Raw genomic sequence first — 18,631 nt, forward strand, 5'->3', positions numbered from 1 at the left:
TATGTTATTTCTATATTTTAATCTGGGGATCTGCCATACTGTTTTCAGCAGGCTTATACCACTGTACATTCCCAGTGATAGTGCACAATGTTCTCCAACATTCCACATCCTTGACAGTATTTCTTGTTTTCCATCTTTGATACTACTAATCCTAATGAGATGCTATGTATGTCTTGAGTTTGATTTGTATTTCCCTAATGACTAAAGATGTCGAGCATTGTTACGTGCTTATTGGCCATCTGGGTATCTTCTTTGGAGAAATGTCTATTCAAGTCCTTTCCTCCATTTTAAAATTGGATTGTGTCTTAGCTTGGGTTGCTAAAACAAAATACCATAAATTGGAAAGCTTAATTAATCAACAAACATTTATTTCTCATGGTTTGGGAGGCTGGGAAGTCCAATATCAAGGCACTGGCATAGTCCATGTCTGGTAAGGGCCTGCTTCCCGGTTCAAAGATAGCTATCTTCTCACTGCACCCTCTCATGGTGAAGGGCAAAGCTAGCTCTCTAGGGATTCCTATCAGGAAACTAATCCCAATTACAAGGCCTCCATCTTCATGATGTCCTCCAATCCTAAAAACCACCAGAGACAGGGCCTCCAAATACCATCACATTGTGGGGGAGAGGGGGGGCACGGGGGTAAGGTTTCAACATATGAATCTGAGGTGGCATACACTCAGCCAAAACATTACACCTCTGGCCCCCAAAATCCATGTCATCACATGTAAAATATATTCATCTCATCCCAAAGGCCTCAAAAGTCTCAGTTAATTCCAGCATGAAGCCTAATGTTTAAACTCAAACTCCAAAGTGTCATCTCAATATCACATCACTCAGATATGGATGAGACTCAATTCATGCTGAGGCAAAATTCTTCTTCAGCTCCGAACCGGTGAAAACCAAACTAGTCATGTATTTCCAAAATATGAGACAGGCACAGGATAGAGATTCCTATTCCAAAAGTGAGAAACAGGAGAAAGGGGTGAGCTCCCAAACAAGTCTGAAACCCAGAAAGCAAACTGAAGACTTTCCATATTCTTTAGATATGTAGATACTTGTAGACCTGTCCTCCACTATTCATTTTCACAGGTATTCGAAGGTTGTGTGATAAATGAAAGCTTTCCCACATTCTTTACGTAAGGTTTATCTCCATTATGAGCTCTTTCATGTCTTTGAAAGGAACTGGAATAACTGAACGTTTTTCCACATTGCTTACATTCATAGGGTTTTTCTCCGGTATGAGTTCTTTCATGTATTCTAATGGAACTGGCATAATTGAATGCTTTCCCACATTCTTTACATTCATAGGGTTTTTCTCCAGTATGAGTTCTTTCATGTGTTCGGACAGAACTAGGACAGTCAAAGGCTTTACCACATACCTGACATTTATAAGGTCCATCTCCAGTGTGCAGTATCATATGTTTTCTAATCCTTTTAAGAGAAATGAAGGCTTTCCCACATACCTGACATTCATAGGGTTTCTCTCCAGTGTGAGTTCTTTCGTGTATTTGAAATGAACTGGGACAGTCAAAGGCTCTACCACATACCTGACATTTATAAGGTCCATCTCCAGTGTGCTTTATCATGTGTCTTCGGACACTTGGGAGAGAAATGAAGGCTTTCCCGCATTCCTTACATTCATAGGGCTTCTCTCCAGTGTGAGTCCTTTCATGTGTTCGAACATTACTGGAAGAACTGAAGGTTTTACCACATTTATTACATTCATAGGGTTTCTCCCCAGTATGAGTTCTTTCATGCTTTCGAACATAACTGGGAAAAATAAAGGCTCTCCCACATACTTTACATTTATAAGGTCCATCCCCAGTGTGCCTAATCATATGACTTTGAAAATTTGTGAAAGAAATGAAGGCCTTCCCACACTGTTTACATTCATGGGGTTTCTCTCCAGTATGAGTTCTTTCATGTATTCGAAATAAACTGGGGCGGTCAAAGGCTTTTCCACATTCCTGACATTTATAAGGTCCATCTCCAGTGTGCCTAATCATGTGTCTTTGAAAACTTGGAAGAGAAATGAAAGCTTTTGCACATTCCTGACATTCATAGGGTTTCTCTCCAGTGTGAGTTCTTTCATGTATCTGAAATAAACTTGGGCGATCAAAGGCTTTCCCACATTCCTGACATTTATATGGTCCATCTCCAGTGTGCTTAATCATGTGTCTTCGAACACTTGGGAGAGAAATGAAGGCTTTCCCACATTCCGGACATGCATAGGGTTTCTCACCAGTGTGAGTTCTTTCATGTCTTCGAAAGGATTGACAAGAACTGAAGGCTTTCCCACACTGCTTACATTTATATGGTTTCTCTCCATATTCCTGATAGTCATATGGTTTGTGTCCAAGGTGAGATCTGATGTGCCTACTAAGGGATGAATGATGCATGAAGACTTTCCCACACAAACTACATTCACATGGTCTTACTATAGTAGGAATTTTCTTGTTCAGATTAAGATTGAGAATCTGACTGAAGGCTTCTCCACATTGATCATATTCTTTACTTTCACTGAGTCCCTCTTCCATATGATTTCTGGAAAAAATAGAAAGCAAGATTTAGTGGTTTGTGACTTTATATTTATTAATAGGTATTCGACTTACATTTTTACCATAATCGCGGAAAGGGTAAGTTTTCAGGCCTGTATGAATTGTTTGAAAGTGAATGGATGGAATGCTCTGCAAGAGAGCTTGACAGTAGCTATCACCAAAAAAGTGATATCCATATATACAGTTTCTTAATACTATTTCCAAGTGAATGATTTTGCAACACTGAACATCTATGCCACTTTTTCTTTTTCTGGTGAAAAAGTTGTAGGAATAAATAAATCTGAAGCTGGGCTTACTGGTTTGTTTACTTATTTTTAAAATTTCATGACATACTAAGAAGGAGACATTGCTTTATCTTGTCAGTGCAAATTACCTTAAAATTCTCCCCTGATTTTTGTACCAATCTTCAATGCTCTGGTCTTCCCATTTTTTTCCTAAAATATAGTCAGAAAAAATCCTTATGAACTGATAGACATTACAGAAAAATGACTAGATTCTAAGTTCATGATAAGGTGCAAACAACCCTGATTTATTCACCCAAGTATTCCCTTTTCCACATTAGACATCATGAAAAAGCATTAAAAAGCAAGAAATACTTCTTCTCTAACTGACTAAAAGAAGGAATGATGTCATCCTTACCTACACAGGCCAGGTTTCTAAAGGTTTCCCGCATCACATCTCTGTAGAGTTTCTTCTGGGAAGGATCCAGCAAAGCCCACTCCTCAAGTGTGAAGTTCACAGCCACATCCTCAGAGGCCACTGAGTCCTAAAACATCCCAAATATGCAATGCAGGAGGAAGAATGAGATGACAGTACAGGGATGTAAACCCAATTCATAAAAGTTCACAAATGGCTAGGTGTGGTGGCTCATGCCTGTAATCCCAGCACTTTGGGAGGCCAAGGCATACAGATCACCTGAGGTCAGGAACTTGAGGCCAGCCCGGTCAACATGGTGAAACCCCATCTCTACTACAGATATATGAATTAGCTGGGCGTGGTGGCGTATGCCTGTTAATCCCGGCTACTCAGGAGGCTGAGGCAGGGGAATCGCTTAAACAAGGGAGGCAGAGGTTACGGTGAACCAAGATCACGCCACTGCACTTCAGCCTGGCTGACAGAGAGAGACCCCATCTCAAACAAACAAACAAAAAACAAAACAAAAAAGTCGACAAAACGATGTGGCAGTCTCCAAACATTTATTTTATGATAAATAAATATGGTTGTCAGAATTCCGTCTACATTCACTTTCTCATAAATTTAATTACCCCATGAAAACATGCAACTGATCTCTACATTTTTACTGTAGTCACTACAAGTTTTATTGGTCTCTAATGGCAGGATCCAGTTCACCTTGGAGAAACAAATAAAATGCTATACAAAGAAAACAAATTTTGGCCAGGCCTGGTGGCTCACACCTGTAATCCCAGCACTTTGGGAGGCTGAGGCAAGAGGATCACAAGGTCAGGAGTTTGAGACCAGCCTGACCAACACAGTGAAACCCCGTCTCTACCAAAAATACAAAAAAATTAGCCGGGCATGGTGGCATGCACCTGTAATCCCAGCTACTCGGGGGGCTGAAGCAGGAGAATAGCTTGAACCCAGGAAGCGGAGGTTGCAGTGAGCTGAGATCATGCCATTGCACTCCAGCCTGGAGGACAGAGAGAGACTAAGTCTCAAAAAAAAAAAATTTAAGATCATCATTCCTACCAGGAAAAACTTCCATTTCCTTTCATATCTCACACCAATCAGCATTCCATGAAACACAGGGTAGGCCAGGCGCACTGGCTCATGCCTGTAATCCCAACACTTTGGGAGGCAGAGGCAGGCGGATCACCTGAGATCAGGAGTTTGAGACCAGCCAGCCCAACATGGCAAAACCCTGTCTCTACTAAAAATACAAAAAATTCACTGGGCGTGGTGGTGGGCACCTGTAATACCAGCTACTTGGGAGGCTGAGGAAGGAGAATCGCTTGAGACCAGGAGGCGGACGTTGCAGTGAGTAGAGATTGTGCCACTGCACTCCAGCCTGGGTGACAAGAGCAAAACTCTGTCTCAAAAAAAAAAAAAAAAAGAAAGAAAGAAAGAAAAAAAGAAACACAGGATAAAAACTGAAAAAGGTATCCATGAATAAATAAATATACACTGAAGAAGTGAAACCATTTTCTTCTGTTCCCTTCATCAAACATGAGAGGCCAGAAGGCCCGTAGAAATCCACGTTCTGACAAAATCCAGCTGACCACACTTTCCTGAAGGATTCCAGGCCATCAGACGTAGACAGATCAAGTTGGTTGAAAGAAAATATTCCTCTGCAAAAGAAGTCATTTTAACCTGCATGTATAACATTTGTTATAGACTCACTGATTCCTTTGACTCTGTCCCATTTCACTAGGCTAGGAAGCTACTGGGAAGACAGAACTCAGGCATGAAGAAGAAGGTATGGCAACTTAGGCAGCGCCCCCTCACCCAGCAAAATCCCCAGTCATGAACGTCAAGGGCAGTTTCCCACCTATTTTTACCTTACATACACAAACATACTAAGAAGACAAAATGCCAGAAGAGTTTTTTCTGGCAGATACATAACAAGGTACCCTATGACTTGCTAACCTTGAGGAACAGGTTAAGAGTTGCAATTTCTGAGGGATTTCATTCAAGTCCAGATGGTTTGATGGTGAATTTGACCATGATTATAAAATACACGAAGGGATCAGCAGTGCTTTTCTCCAAAAGAACATAAAATCCTCTTTCTCAAATTTCAAGAGGAAATGATTCCTGACCAGTCACTATGTGATACTACATTGTGTAATGTCAAGGCAAAATAAAATAAGGGGAAAGATGGGTTCTTTTGGTTTTCTTAGAAATGGGAACTTGCTCCGTCATCCACACTGGAGTGCAGTGGCATGATCACAGCTCACTGAAGCCTTGATCTCCTGGGCTCATGTGATCCTCCCTCCTGAGTCTCTCAAGTAGCTAGAACTATAGTCGCAAGACACCATGTCTAGCTAATTTTTAAATTTTTTGTAGAGATGGGGTCTTACTTTGTTGCTCAAGCTGATCTCAAATTCCTGCCTCAGCCTCCCAAAGTGCTGGGATTACAGGTGTAAACCACCACACCTGGCTGGAAAGATGGGTTCTGAGAAAGAATGAAATGTCCTCAAGATAGCCTCTTACAAAATATTTTTTAAATTCTATAAATCCCCTAAAAACTGTTGAAGAGTCAACAAAAAGTTCTTCTCCAAATGTAGCAGGAATAATGAATATCTAACAATGGTCAAAGTCTTCTGAAGAACAACATGATAGCTTCCCTAACCTTTAACAAGAATTCTGAATGCTGGCCAGGTATGGTGGCTCATGTCTGTAATCCCAGCACTTTGGGAGCCTGAGGCAGGCAGATCACTTGAGTTCACTTGAGTCAGGATCATTTGAGTTAGGAGTTTGAGTCTGACCTGGGAAACACGGCGAAACCTCGTCTCTACTAAAAATACAAAAATTAGCCAAGCATGTTGACGCGCACCTGTTACCCCAGCTACCTGGGAGGCCGAGGCAGGAGAATCACTTGAACCTGGGAGGTGGAAAGTGCAGTGAGCCGAGATTGTGCCACTGCACTCCAGCCTGGGTGGCAAGACTCTGTCTCCAAAAAAAATAAAAAAAAAAATAGGAGAACCATGGTAGGCACTGAGGAAAAAAGACCACATATCTTTCTTACAATACCACAGAAGGCCACAACCCAGGCCAGGAACAAAGGCTCACTAACAAATCATATGATTACAAAATATGTCACACCTCAGGTAAAATGCTCAATTAAAGCCCAAGAAGGAAGGTCAGAGACAAAAAAAGAAACAAAAGCAAGGGCAACTAATAGAAAAAAGTAAAAAATATGGTAGATATTAATACAACTGTATCAATAATCACTTTGAATGTCAATAGTCCAAATATAATTAGAAGACAGATGCTGTTATAGTGGATTTTAAAAACATAGTATGTTGGCTAAAAGGAAACCACTTTAAATACAAAGACACACATATTAAAAGTAAAGGGATAGGGAAATATATAAAATGCTAACATTAATTAAAAGAAACATGGCATGGCTATCTTAATATCACAAAGTACACTTCAGAGAAAGGAAAAAACACAGAGATAAGCCAGGTGCAGTGGCACATGCCTATGGTCCCAGCTACTTAGGAGGCTGAGATGGAGGATCACCTGAGACCAGGAGTTCAAGGATATAATGCGCTATAATTTATTGTGAATAGACCCTGCACTCCAGCCTGGGGAACAGCGAGACCTTCATCTCTATAAAAAAAATTTAAAAAAAAAAATTTTTTTGGCCGGGCGCGGTGGCTCACACCTGTAATCCCAGCACTTTGGGAGGCCAAGGCGGGCGGATCACGAGGTCAGGAGATTGAGACCATCCTGGCTAACACGGTGAAACCCCGTCTCTACTAAAAATACAAAAAATTAGCCGGGCGTGGTAGCAGGCGCCTGTAGTCCCAGCTACTCGGGAGGCTGAGGCAGGAGAATGGCGTGAACCCGGAAGGCGGAGCTTGCAGTGAGCCGAGATCGCGCCACTGCACTCCAGCCTGGGCGACAGAGCGAGACTCCGTCTCAAAAAAAAAAAAAAAAAAAAAAAAAAAATTTTTTTTTTAATTAACCAGTTGGGGTATCACAAACTTGCAGTCAGCTACTTGAGAAGCTGAGGCAGGTAGATTGCTGCAGCCTGGGAGTTCAAGGCTGCAAAGAGCTATATGATCACACCACTGCATTCCAGCCTGGGAGACACAGTGAGACTCTGTCTCTAAAAAAAATAAATTAAATTTTTAAAATAAATAAAGAGATATAAGTGAGCATCACATAATGATAAAGGACTCAACATGCCAAGAAAACCTGACAACCCTTAGTGTGTGTTTGCATAACAAGCGTTGCAAAATACATGTGGCAAAATACAACTGATAGAACTGCAAAGAAAAAATACACTAATCTACTTGTATAGTTGGAGACTGCAGCACCCCTCCAGCAGTAATTAAGAGATCCAACAGGCAGAAAATCTGAAAGGACATAGTAAAGTAAATAGCATCATCAAACAACTGGATTTAATTGAAATGCATGGAATACTTCATCTAACAATAGCAAAACACAAATTCTTCTCAAGTTCACAGGAATATTCACAAAAATAAACCAAATACTGGGGCATAAAACACACCTTAATATGAAAAATTTTAAAAAATCATACAAAGTATGCTCAGACCACAAGTCATTCATCTAGAAATCAATAACAGAGATAGTTACCAACTCCCCCAAATCTTTAGAGATTAAACAACACAATTCTAAATAAGCACATGGATCAAAGAAGTCTGAGAAATCAAAAATAATTTTTGACCTAAAATGAAAATGAAAACAAAATTTATCAAAAATTAGGGTATGCAGCAAAAGCAGTGCATAGAGGAATATTTACAGCATTGAACACCTACACCAGGAAAGAACAAGGGTTTATAATGAATCATCTAAGAGTCTACTTCGGGCTGGGTGCAGTGGCTCACGCCTATAATCCCAGCAATTTGGGAGGCCAAGGCGGGCAGATTACTTGAGGCCAGGAATTGGAGACCAGCCTGGACAACATGGTAAAACCTCGTCTCTACTAAAAATACAAAAATTAGCTGGGTGTGGTGGCGCATGCCTGTAATCCCAGCTACTCAGTAGGCTGAGATACAAGAATCACTTGAACCTGGGAGATGGAGGTTACAGTGAGCCAAGATCATGCCACTGCACTCCAGCCTGGGCGACACAGCAGGCTGCTGTCTCCAAAAAAAAAAAAAAAAAAAAAAACAGAAAAAAGAAAAGAGTCTACTTCAGGAAAACAGAAAAACAAGAGAGCAAATTAAACCCAAGTAAGCAGACAGACAGACAGAATAATTGGAGAAGTCAATGAAATGGCAGGAAATCAATAGAGATTAAAAAAAAAAAACAGAAGTCGGTTATTGGAGAACACCAATAAAACTGATAAACCTCTAGTCATGGTAAGAAAAAAGAAATTACTAAGATCAGAAATGAAAGGAGGCAAAAGTAAAAACTAAAGAACATTTGACAAAATCTACCATCCACTCACGGTGGCAAACTGGGAATAGAGAACTTCCTCCTCAGAAAGAACATCAATGAGGAACCTGCAGCTAACATCATACTTAACAGTGAGAAACTAGATGCTTTCTACACAAGACCAGAAACAGGGTAAGAATGTCTTCTCTCACCACTACTATTCAACAACATCCTTAAAGTCCTAGATAAGCAACAAGACAGAGGAAATAAAAAGTATATCGATTTAGAAGGAAGAAATAAAATTGTCTTTGCTGCATAAGACATGATTATATAAAATATATAGATGGCATATAAACATATGAAAACATGCATATTTTGTCACTGGGGAATTACAAATTTAAAAATTAAAGACTAACACAACCTTTATTAGAATGGCTAAAATTTAAAACACTGAGAACACCAAATGATGGCAAAGATGTGAAGCAATAGGAACCCTCATTTGTTACTTGTGGGAATGGAAAACAGTGCACCTATTTTGGAAGATGGTCAGTTTCTTATAAAACTAAACATACTCGGCCAGGCACAGTGGCTCATGCCTGTAATCCCACAACTTTGGGAGGCCAAGGAGGGTGGATCACCTGAGGTCAGGAGTTCAAGACCCGCCTGGCCAACATGGTGAAACCTTGTCTCTACTAAAAATACAAAAATTAGCTGGGCATGGTGGCACATGCATGTAATCCCAGCTACTCGAGAGGCTGAAGCAGGAGAATTGTCTGAGCCCAGGAGGTGGAGGCTGCAGTAAGCCGAGATCTTGACACTGCACTCCAGCCTGGACGACAGAGCAAAACTCTGTCTCAAAACAAAACTAAACAAAACATACTCAACATATAACCTAACAATCATGCTCCTTGGTATTTATCAAAATAAGCTGAAAACATGTTCACACAAAAACCTGTACATGGATGTTTATGGGAGTTTTATTCATAATTTCTAGAATTTAGAGTTAACCAAGAGATTCTTGATAAACAAATGAACAATCTGCAGTACATCCATATGATTAAATATAATCATATGGATGAAAAGAAGATATCAAGCCATGATAAGACATAGAGGAAATTTAAAAGTACGTCACTGGGCCAGGTGTGGTGGCTCACACCTGTAATCCCAGCACTTTGGGAGGCAGAGGCGGGAGGATCACCTGAGGTCAGGAGTTTGAGACCAGCCTGACCAAACGGTGAAACCTCATCTCTACTAAAAATAAAAAAATCAGCCGGGCATGGTGGCGGACACCTGTAATCCCAGCTACTCAGGAGGCTGAGGCAGGAGAATCGCTTGAACCAAGGGGGCGGAGGTTGCAGTGAGCCAAGATCACATCACTGCACTCCAGCCTGGGTGACAGAGTGAGACTCCGTCTCAAAAAGAAAAAAAGAAAAGTATGTTACTAAGTGATAGAATCCAATCTAAAAAGGCCATATACAATGTATTACCAACTATAAGATATTCTGCAAAAGACAAAACTATGGGACATGAAAAAGTCTTTGGTTTTAAGGGATTTCAGGATGCAAAGGGCAGATGAATGAATGTGTAAACTATAGGTGATTTTTAGGGCAGTGAAACTACCCTAACAGAAATAACACATGTCATTAAACATTGTCAAAGTCCAGTGAATATACAATAGTCAACTCTAATGTAAAATGTAAACATTAATGCATCCATATTGGTTCAACTGTAGTAAATGTACCACAGTAATACAATATATAAAAAATAGGGCAAACTGGCCGGGTGCGGTGGCTCACGCCTGTAATCCCAGCACTTTGGGAGGCTCAGACAGGCAGATCACGAGGTCAAGAGATCGAGACCATCCTGGCCAACATGGTGAAATCCATCTCTACTAAAAATACAAAAATTAGCTGGGCGGAGTGGTGCGTGCCTGTAGTCCCAGCTACTTGGGAGGCTGAGGCAGGAGAATTGCTTGAACCCGGGAGGTGCAGGTTGCACTGAGCTGAGACTGTGCGACTGCATTCCAGAGTGGCGACAGAGCGTGACTCCGTCTCAAAAAAAAAAAAAAAAATAGGGCAAACCGTAAAGAAGAGTGATCATTAAATAACTCTGTACTTAATGATCAATTTTTCTGTAAACTTAAAACTGTTCTGAAAAAAATCTGTTACAAAAAGTTAAAATGAAGAGACTCATGACTGAAAAGTAACTAATCACTGAACCATGTTTTTTCTTTTTTTGAGACAGGGTCTCATTTTGTCACCCAGATTGGAGTGCAGTGGTATGATCACAGCTCACTGCAGCCTCAACCTCCAAGGCTAAAGTGATCCTTCCACCTCAGCCTCCCAAGGATCTGGGACTACAGGTACATGTCACCATGCTCAGGAAATTTTTGTATTTTTTGTAGAGACGGGGTTTTGTCATGTTGCCCAGGCTGGTCTCAAACTCTTGGGCTCAAGCAATCTGCCTACCTTGGCCTCCCAAAGTGCTGACATGGCAGGCGTAAGCCACCACGCCTGGCCCATATCATATTTCATGCAACTGATTTGAACTTATTTTAGTAAGCCATTATGGTCATGAATGAGGTCTTCAGCCAATGCCTTGTTTAGGAGCCCTGCACTGTATATTCCGAGAAGTTAGGAGCCCAGCACTGTATATTCTGAGAAGTTAAATTAGGGCCTTGGTTACCATCAGTACTGTCTAGAATTCGGACATGGATGAGTATCCATGGTATTGTGGACTTCGTATAAGATATGTATTGGCCAGGCAAGGTGGCTCACATCTGTAATCCCAACACTTTGGGAAGCCGATAGAGTGAGCCATCACATCCAGCCCTGAAGTCTTATTCTCATTGGTAAATACAAGAAAAACAGTAACAGATTATATAGATTTGGAATGAACCTGAAAACTCCTAATACTTTTAACAGATGGTTTTTAGTATATATGTGCAATCATAATCACAATTTTCATCACCTCAAAAATAAGCCCATGTACTTTTTACCTGTCAATCTCCTATCCTCCCATCTTCTTCTGCCAGTCCCCAGCCCTTGATAAGCAGCAATCTTTCGGTCTCTATAGATTTTCCTATTATGGACTTCCATATAATCAGAATCATGCCATGTGGTATGTGACTGGCTTCATTATAGGTTTCTCAAGTCACATCCATGTTGTAGCACGCATCCCCACTTTGTATTTATGGTAGAATTATATTCCACTGGATGGATATTACACATTTTCTTTATCTATCATCCAATGATGTATTACAGTCAGCCCTCCATACTTGGAGTTTCTGTATCCTCAGATTCGACCACCCTCTGATCATGTACTATGTGATTAGGTCTATGATGGTTAGGTATATACTGAACATGTACAGACTTTTTCTTCTTTTTATTATTCCCTAAACAACACAATATAACAACTATTTTACCTAAAATTTATGTTGTATCAGGTATTATAAGTGAGCTAAAGATGATTTAAAGTATATGGAAGACAATGTTTTCTAAGCCGGGCGTGGTGGCTCACGCCTGTAATTCCAGCACTTTGGGAGGTCGAGGGGGGCGGATCACCTGAGGTCGGGAGTTCGAGACCAGCCTGACCAAAAAGGAGAAACCCTGTCTCTACTAAAAATACAAAATTAGCCAGGTGTGGTGGCGCATGCCTGTAATCCCAGTTACTGGGGAGGCTGAGGCAGGAGAATCACTTGAACCCGGGAGGCGGAGGTTGCGGTGAGCCGAGATTTCGCCATTGCACTCCCGCCTGGGCAACAAGAGTGAAACTCCGTCTCAAAAAAAAAAAAAAAGAAAAAAAAGAAAAGAAAATGTTTTCTTAATTTCCATTTTGGGTTGTTCAGTGACAATGTATAAAAATAACAGATTTTTGCAGGTTCCATTTGTATGCTACCAATTTGCTTAATTCATTTATTACTTCTAAGTGCGTGTGTGGGGTGGGGGAAGTTCTTGGAAGTTCTACATGTAAAATCACATAATTTGTGAACAGGAAAAAATTTCCTTCTTCCTGTCCAATTCTGATATCTTTTCTTTTTCTTGTCTAATTACTCTGACTAGAACATCCGGTACTATGGCGAATAGTAGTGGTAAAAGTTAACTAAGTCTCAATAGATTTTTTTAAATAGAATAAAAAATAATAGTAAGTTAAAATATAAAATGATTGTATAACACACATTCAACATACGAATATACATTTACACTGTTAATATATAAATACAAAATAAAGTAAAATATAAAATAATATTAGCTCGGTGCAGTGGCTCACACCTGTAATCCTAACACTTTAGGAGGCAAAGACAGGAGGACTGCTTAATGCCAAGGAGTTTAAGACCAGCCTGGACAACATAGTGAAATCCTGTCTCTATTAAAAAAAAAAAAATTTGGCCAGGCGCAGTGGCTCACGCCTGTAATCCCAGCACTTTGGGAGGCCAAGGTGGGTGGATCACGAGGTCAGGAGTTAAACACTAGCCTGGACAAGATGATGGAACCCCATCTCTACTAAAAATACAAAAAAATTAGCCAGGCATGGTGGTGGGCACCTGTAATCCCAGCTACTTGGGAGGCTGAGGCAGAGAATTGCTTGAACCCAGGAGGCGGAGGTTGCAGTGAGCCAAGATTGCGCCATTGCATTCCAGCCTGGGCAACACAGCAAGACTCTGTCTAAAAAAAATAAATAAATAAAAAATAAAAAAATTTTAACTAGTCGAGTGTGGTGGCACAAGCCTGTAATCCCAGCTACTTGGGAGGCTGACACAGAAGGATACTTGAGTACAAGAGGTCAATGCTACAGTGAGCTATGATTGCGCCACTACACTCCAGTCTGGGCGACAGAGCAAGACCCTGTCTCAAAAAAAAAAGTATCAACTTTAGTTAATAATAATGTTATTGGTTTGCCAATTTTCATCATTATCAGATGTAATATGTTGGTTTATAATCATAACTAATACACTACACTAACGCAGTATGTTAAAAATAGGGGAGGTAGGCCAGGCGTGGTGGCTCACGTCTGTAATCCTAGCACTTTGGGAGGTCGAGGCAGGTGGATCACCTGAGGTCAGGAGTTCAAGACCAGCCTGGCTAATGTGGCGCAATCCAGTCTCTACTAAAAAAATTCAAAAAAAAATTAGCTGGACATGGTGGTGGGCGCCTGTAATCCCAGCTACTCCGGAGGCTGAGGCAGAAGAATCGCTTGAATCTAGGAGGCAGACATTGCAGTAAGCTGAGATCGTGCCTCCTGTCACCACACTCCAGCCTCGGTGACAGAACGAGACTCCATCTCAAAAAAAAAAAAAAAAAAATAGGGGAGGTAGGGAAAAGGGGCTCTGTAATAGCTCCCAAATTTTTCTGTAAACTATGAATTAAAAAAGCAAATAAACTAACCTTTCATGGAAAATTCTAGTGTAAAAAAAGAAAGCTGGCTGGGCACAGTGGCTCACGCCTGTAATTCCAGCACTTTGGGAGGCCGAGGCGGGTGGATCACAAGGTCAGGAGTTCGAGACCATCCTGGCTAACATGGTGAAACCCCATCTCTAATAAAAATACAAAAAAAAAAAAAAAAGAGTAGGGCAAGGTGGCACGTACCTGTAGTCCCAGTTACTTGGGAGGCTGAGGCAGGAGAATCGCTTGAACCCAGGAGGCAGAGGTAGCAGTGAGCCGAGATCGTGCCACTGCACTCCAGCCTGGGCGACAGAGCGACAATTCCTCTCAAAAAGACAAAAAAGAAAAAGAAAAAGGCCAGGCGCAGTGGCTCACGCCTGTAATCCAAGCACTTTGGGAGGCTGAGGTGGGCGGATCACAAGGTCAGGAGATAAAGACCATCCTGGCTAACTCGGTGAAACCCCATCTCTACTAAAACTACAAAAAAGAAAAATTAGCCAGGTGTGGTGGTGGGCGCCTGTAGTCCCAGCTACTCGGGAGGCTGAGGCAGGAGATTGGCGTGAATCTGGGAGGCGGAGCTTGCAGTGAGCCGAGATCGCGCCACTGCACTCCAGCCTGGGTAACAGAACGAGACTCCGTCTCAAAAAAAAAAAAAAGAAAAAAGAAACCTGACATTCCATAGTACACACAGTATAATGCCACTTGCGTAAGATTCATTCAAAAATGAAATATGTAACTGACTGGCTTAAAATAAAATATATTGACATAGGGTTGAGTACACAGGTTAAGAAAAGCAAGGAAATTATCTTATAATCTATAACACTGGCCCCATCTGGAAAGAGAATGGATGATTTGGCTTCTAGGAATCATTTCAAGTGGGGCATGTGGTGAGAAGTCTTCAAAGTCGTGGCCTGGCTGTCATGAGACTGACATTCCCTTTACAATGTTTCAGTTGACTGTGCAACTGTTTTATGTAGTTTCCTCATATGCAATATGTTTAGTAAGTTTCCACAATGAAAACTCAATACACAAATAAGTCTCAGTGTACTCCGAATTTTGAGCATCAAGCCATTGAAGTCAACATTTAAAAGAGAGCATAGGGCCAGTGTGGTGGCTCACATCTGTGATCCCAACACTTTGGGAGGCTGAGGCGGACAGATCAGTTGAGGTCAGGAGTTCGAGACCAGTCTGGCCAACATGGTGAAACTCCATCTCTATTAAAAATACAAAAACCGGCTGGGTGTGGTAGCTCATGCCTGTAATCCCAGCACTTTGGGAGGCCAAGGCGGGCAGATCACAAAGTCAGGAGATCGCCACCATCCTGGCTAACATGATGAAACCCCGTCTCTACTAAAAACACAAAAAATTAGCCGGGCGTGGTGGCGGGCGCCTGTAGTCCCAGCTACTCGGGAGGCTGAGGCAGAAGAATGGTGTGAACTCGGGAGGCAGAGCTTGCAGTGAGCCGAGATGGCACCACTGCACTCCAGCCTGGGTGACACAGCAAGACTCCGTCTCAAAAAAAAATCAGCCAGGTCTGGTGGCAGGCACCTGTAGTCCCAGCTACTCGAGAGGCTGAGGTAGGAGAATTGCTTGAACCCAAGAGTGGAGGTTGCGGTGAGCTGAGATCATACCACTGCACTCCAGCCTGGGCAACAGAGACTCTGTCTCAAAAAAAAAAAAAGACAGCATAGCCCCAGCCTCAGGAATGTGGCAAAACCCTGTCTCTACAAAAAAAAAAAAAAAAAAAAAAGAAACACAAAAATTAGCTGGGTGTGGTGGCACGCACCTGCAGTTCCAGCTACTCAAGAGGCTCGAGGGAGGAGGATCACCTGAGCCCAGGAAGTCTAGGCTGCAGTGAGCCATTGACTGCACTACTGCACTCCACCCTGGGTGATGGGGTTAAGACCCTGCCTCAAAAAACAAAAATAGCTAGGCAGGGTGGCTCACGCCTGTAATCCCATCACTTTGGGAGGCTGAGATGGGCGGATCACCTGAGGTCAGGAGTTCGAGACCAGCCTGGCCAACAAGGCAAATGCCCATCTCCACTAAAAATACAAAAAAATTAGCTCGGCGTGGTAGAACGCACCTGTAATCCCAACTACTTGGGAGGCTGAGGCAGGAGAATTGCTTGAACCCAAGAGGCGGAAGTTACAGTGAGCCAAAATCGCGCCACTAGACTCCAGCCTGGGGATGGAGACTCTGTCTCAAAAAAAAAAGAAAAAAAAAATCAAATTAGGAAGCACTACATGGAGAAATGGCATAGATCCTTAGAAAAGAGGCTGAATATTACCATGATATATGCTTAAGCTGTCCCAAATACAGTGCTTTATTTAATTCCATAAAATTCACAACCAGATTTGCTTGGTATGTTATTAAACTTAAGAAATGCTATTTCTGCCAGGCATGGTGGCTCACGCCTGTAATCCCAGCACTTTGGGAGGCCGAGGCAGGCGGATCACATGGTCAGGAGATCAAGACCGTCCTGGCTAATACGGTGAAACCCCGTCTCTACTAAAAATACAAAAAATTAGCTGGGCGTAGTGGCAGGCACCTGTAATCCCAGATACTCAGGAGGCTGAGGCCGAGGAATCGCTTGAACCCGGGAGAGAAGAGGTTGCAGTGAGCCAAGATTGTGCCACTGCACTCCAGCCTGGGTGACAGAGCGAGACTCTGTCCAAAAAAAAAAAAAAAAAAAAGAAATGCTATTTCTTGGCAGGGCATGGTGGCTCACGCCTGTAATCCCAGCACTTTGGGAGGCTAAGGTGTTCAAGACCAGCCTGGCCAACACAGTGAAACCCCGACTCTACTAAAAATACAAAAATTAGCCGGGTATGGTGGTGGGCGCCTGTAGTCCCAGCTACTCGGGAGGCTGAGGCACAAGAATTGCTTGAACCGGGTAGGCAGAGGTTGCAGTGAGTAAAGATCACGGCACTACACTCCAGCCTGGGTAACAGAGTGAGACTCTGTCTCAAAAAAAAAAAAAAAAAAAAAAAGGTTTAAGAAACACTACTTCTAGGCCAGGCACACACATGGAATCCCAGCATTCTGGGAGGCCAAGGTAGGAGGATCACTTGAAGCCAGGAGTTCAAGATCAGCCTAGGCAACATAATGAAACCTCAACCAAAATTAAAAATTAGCTGGGCATGATAGCACGTGTCTGTAGTCCCAGCTACTCAGGAGGTTGAGGCAGGAGGATCGCTTGAACCCAAGAGTTGTAGGCTGCAGTGAGCTATGATCACGCCAGTGCAGATCATGCCTGGTGACATAGGGGGACCATCTCAAGGAAGAAAGGAAGGAAAGAAAGGGAAAGGAAGAAAGAAAAGAAAAAAGGAAAGGAAGGAAGGAAAGGAAAAAAAGGAAAGAAAGGAAGGAAAAGAAAAAAGGGCCGGGCACCATAGCTCATGCCTGTAATCCCAGCACTTTGGGAGGCCGAGGTGGGTGGATCACCTGAGGTCAGGAGTTCTACACCAGCCTGACCAACATAGTGAAACTCTGTCACTACTAAAAATACAAAATTAGCAGGGCATGGTGGCACATCCTGTAGTCCCAGCTACTTGGGAGGCTGAGGCAGGAGAATCAATTGAATCCCGGAGGCAGAGTTTGCAGTGAGCCAAGATCATGCCGTTGCACTCTGGCCTGGGCAATAAGAGAGAAACTCCACCACAAAAAAGAAAAGAAGGGGCCGGGCGCGGTGGCTCACGCCTGTAATCCCAGCATTTTGGGAGGCCAAGGCGGGCAGATCACCCAAGGTCAGGAGTTCAAGACCAGCCTGGCCAAAACAGTGAAACCTTGTCTTTGTAAAAATACAAAAAAATTAGTCAGGCGTGGTGGGGTGCACCTGTAATCCCAGCTACTCAGGAGGCTGAGGCAGGAGAATGGCTTGAACCCAGGAGGTGGAGGTTGCAGTGAGCTGATATCACACCACTGCACTCCAGCCTAGGTGACTGAGTGAAACTTCGTCTCAGAAAAAAAAAAAAAAGAGAGAAGGGGAGGGGAGGGGAAGGGGAAGGGGAAGGGGAAGGGGAAAGGGAAGGGACCACTTCTAAAAACTGAAATAGCCGGGTGCAGTGGCTCATGCCTGTAATCCCAGCACTTTGGGAGGCCAAGGTGGGTGGATCCTGAGGTCAGGAGCTCGAGACCAGCCTGGTCAACATAGTGAAACCCTGTCTCTACTAAAAATACAAAAAATTAGCCAGGCATGGTGGCACACCTGTAGTCCCAGCTACTCGGGAGGCTGAGGCAGGAGAATCACTTGAACCCGGGAGGTGGAGGTTGTGGTGAGCCAAGATCACGTCACTGCACTCCAGACGGGGCAACAAAGCGAGACTTCGTCTCAAAAAAAAAAAAAAAAAAAAAAACAACTGAAATAGGACTCAAATATCTAAAAACAGCAAAGACTTCGTACAGTACACTGTTAGAAAATGTTACAGCCTGAATCTGTGTGTCCCTCCCAAAATTCATATACTGAAATTCTAACTCCTAATGTCGTTGCATTAGGAGGTGGCATCTTTGGGAGGTAATCGGGGTTAGAGACCATGAGGGTGGTGCCCTCATAAATGGGATTAGCACCTTTAGAAGAAATGACAGGAGACAGCTTGCTTCCTCTCTCCTCTGCCTTGTGAGGATATAATGAGAGATGATGATCTGAAAACCACAAAGCAGGCC

General features: G+C 42.6%; 1 protein-coding gene across 1 annotated transcript in view; it reads right to left on the bottom strand.

The window, feature by feature from the left end:
• The window catches only part of ZNF564 (zinc finger protein 564), a 26,110-nt gene continuing 7,479 nt past the window's right edge, over positions 1–18,631 (bottom strand). The window contains exons 2-4 of the mRNA NM_144976.4: positions 3,198–3,324; positions 2,932–2,992; positions 1–2,544 (exon numbers count right to left, since the gene is read on the bottom strand). Coding sequence (NP_659413.1) covers positions 1,074–2,544; positions 2,932–2,992; positions 3,198–3,324 — 1,659 coding nt within the window. The 3' untranslated portion in view covers positions 1–1,073. The remainder of the gene's footprint in view (positions 2,545–2,931; positions 2,993–3,197; positions 3,325–18,631) is intronic.

The sequence above is a fragment of the Homo sapiens genome, chromosome 19, assembly GCF_000001405.40.
Source record: "Homo sapiens chromosome 19, GRCh38.p14 Primary Assembly".
Lineage (NCBI taxonomy): Eukaryota > Metazoa > Chordata > Mammalia > Primates > Hominidae > Homo > Homo sapiens.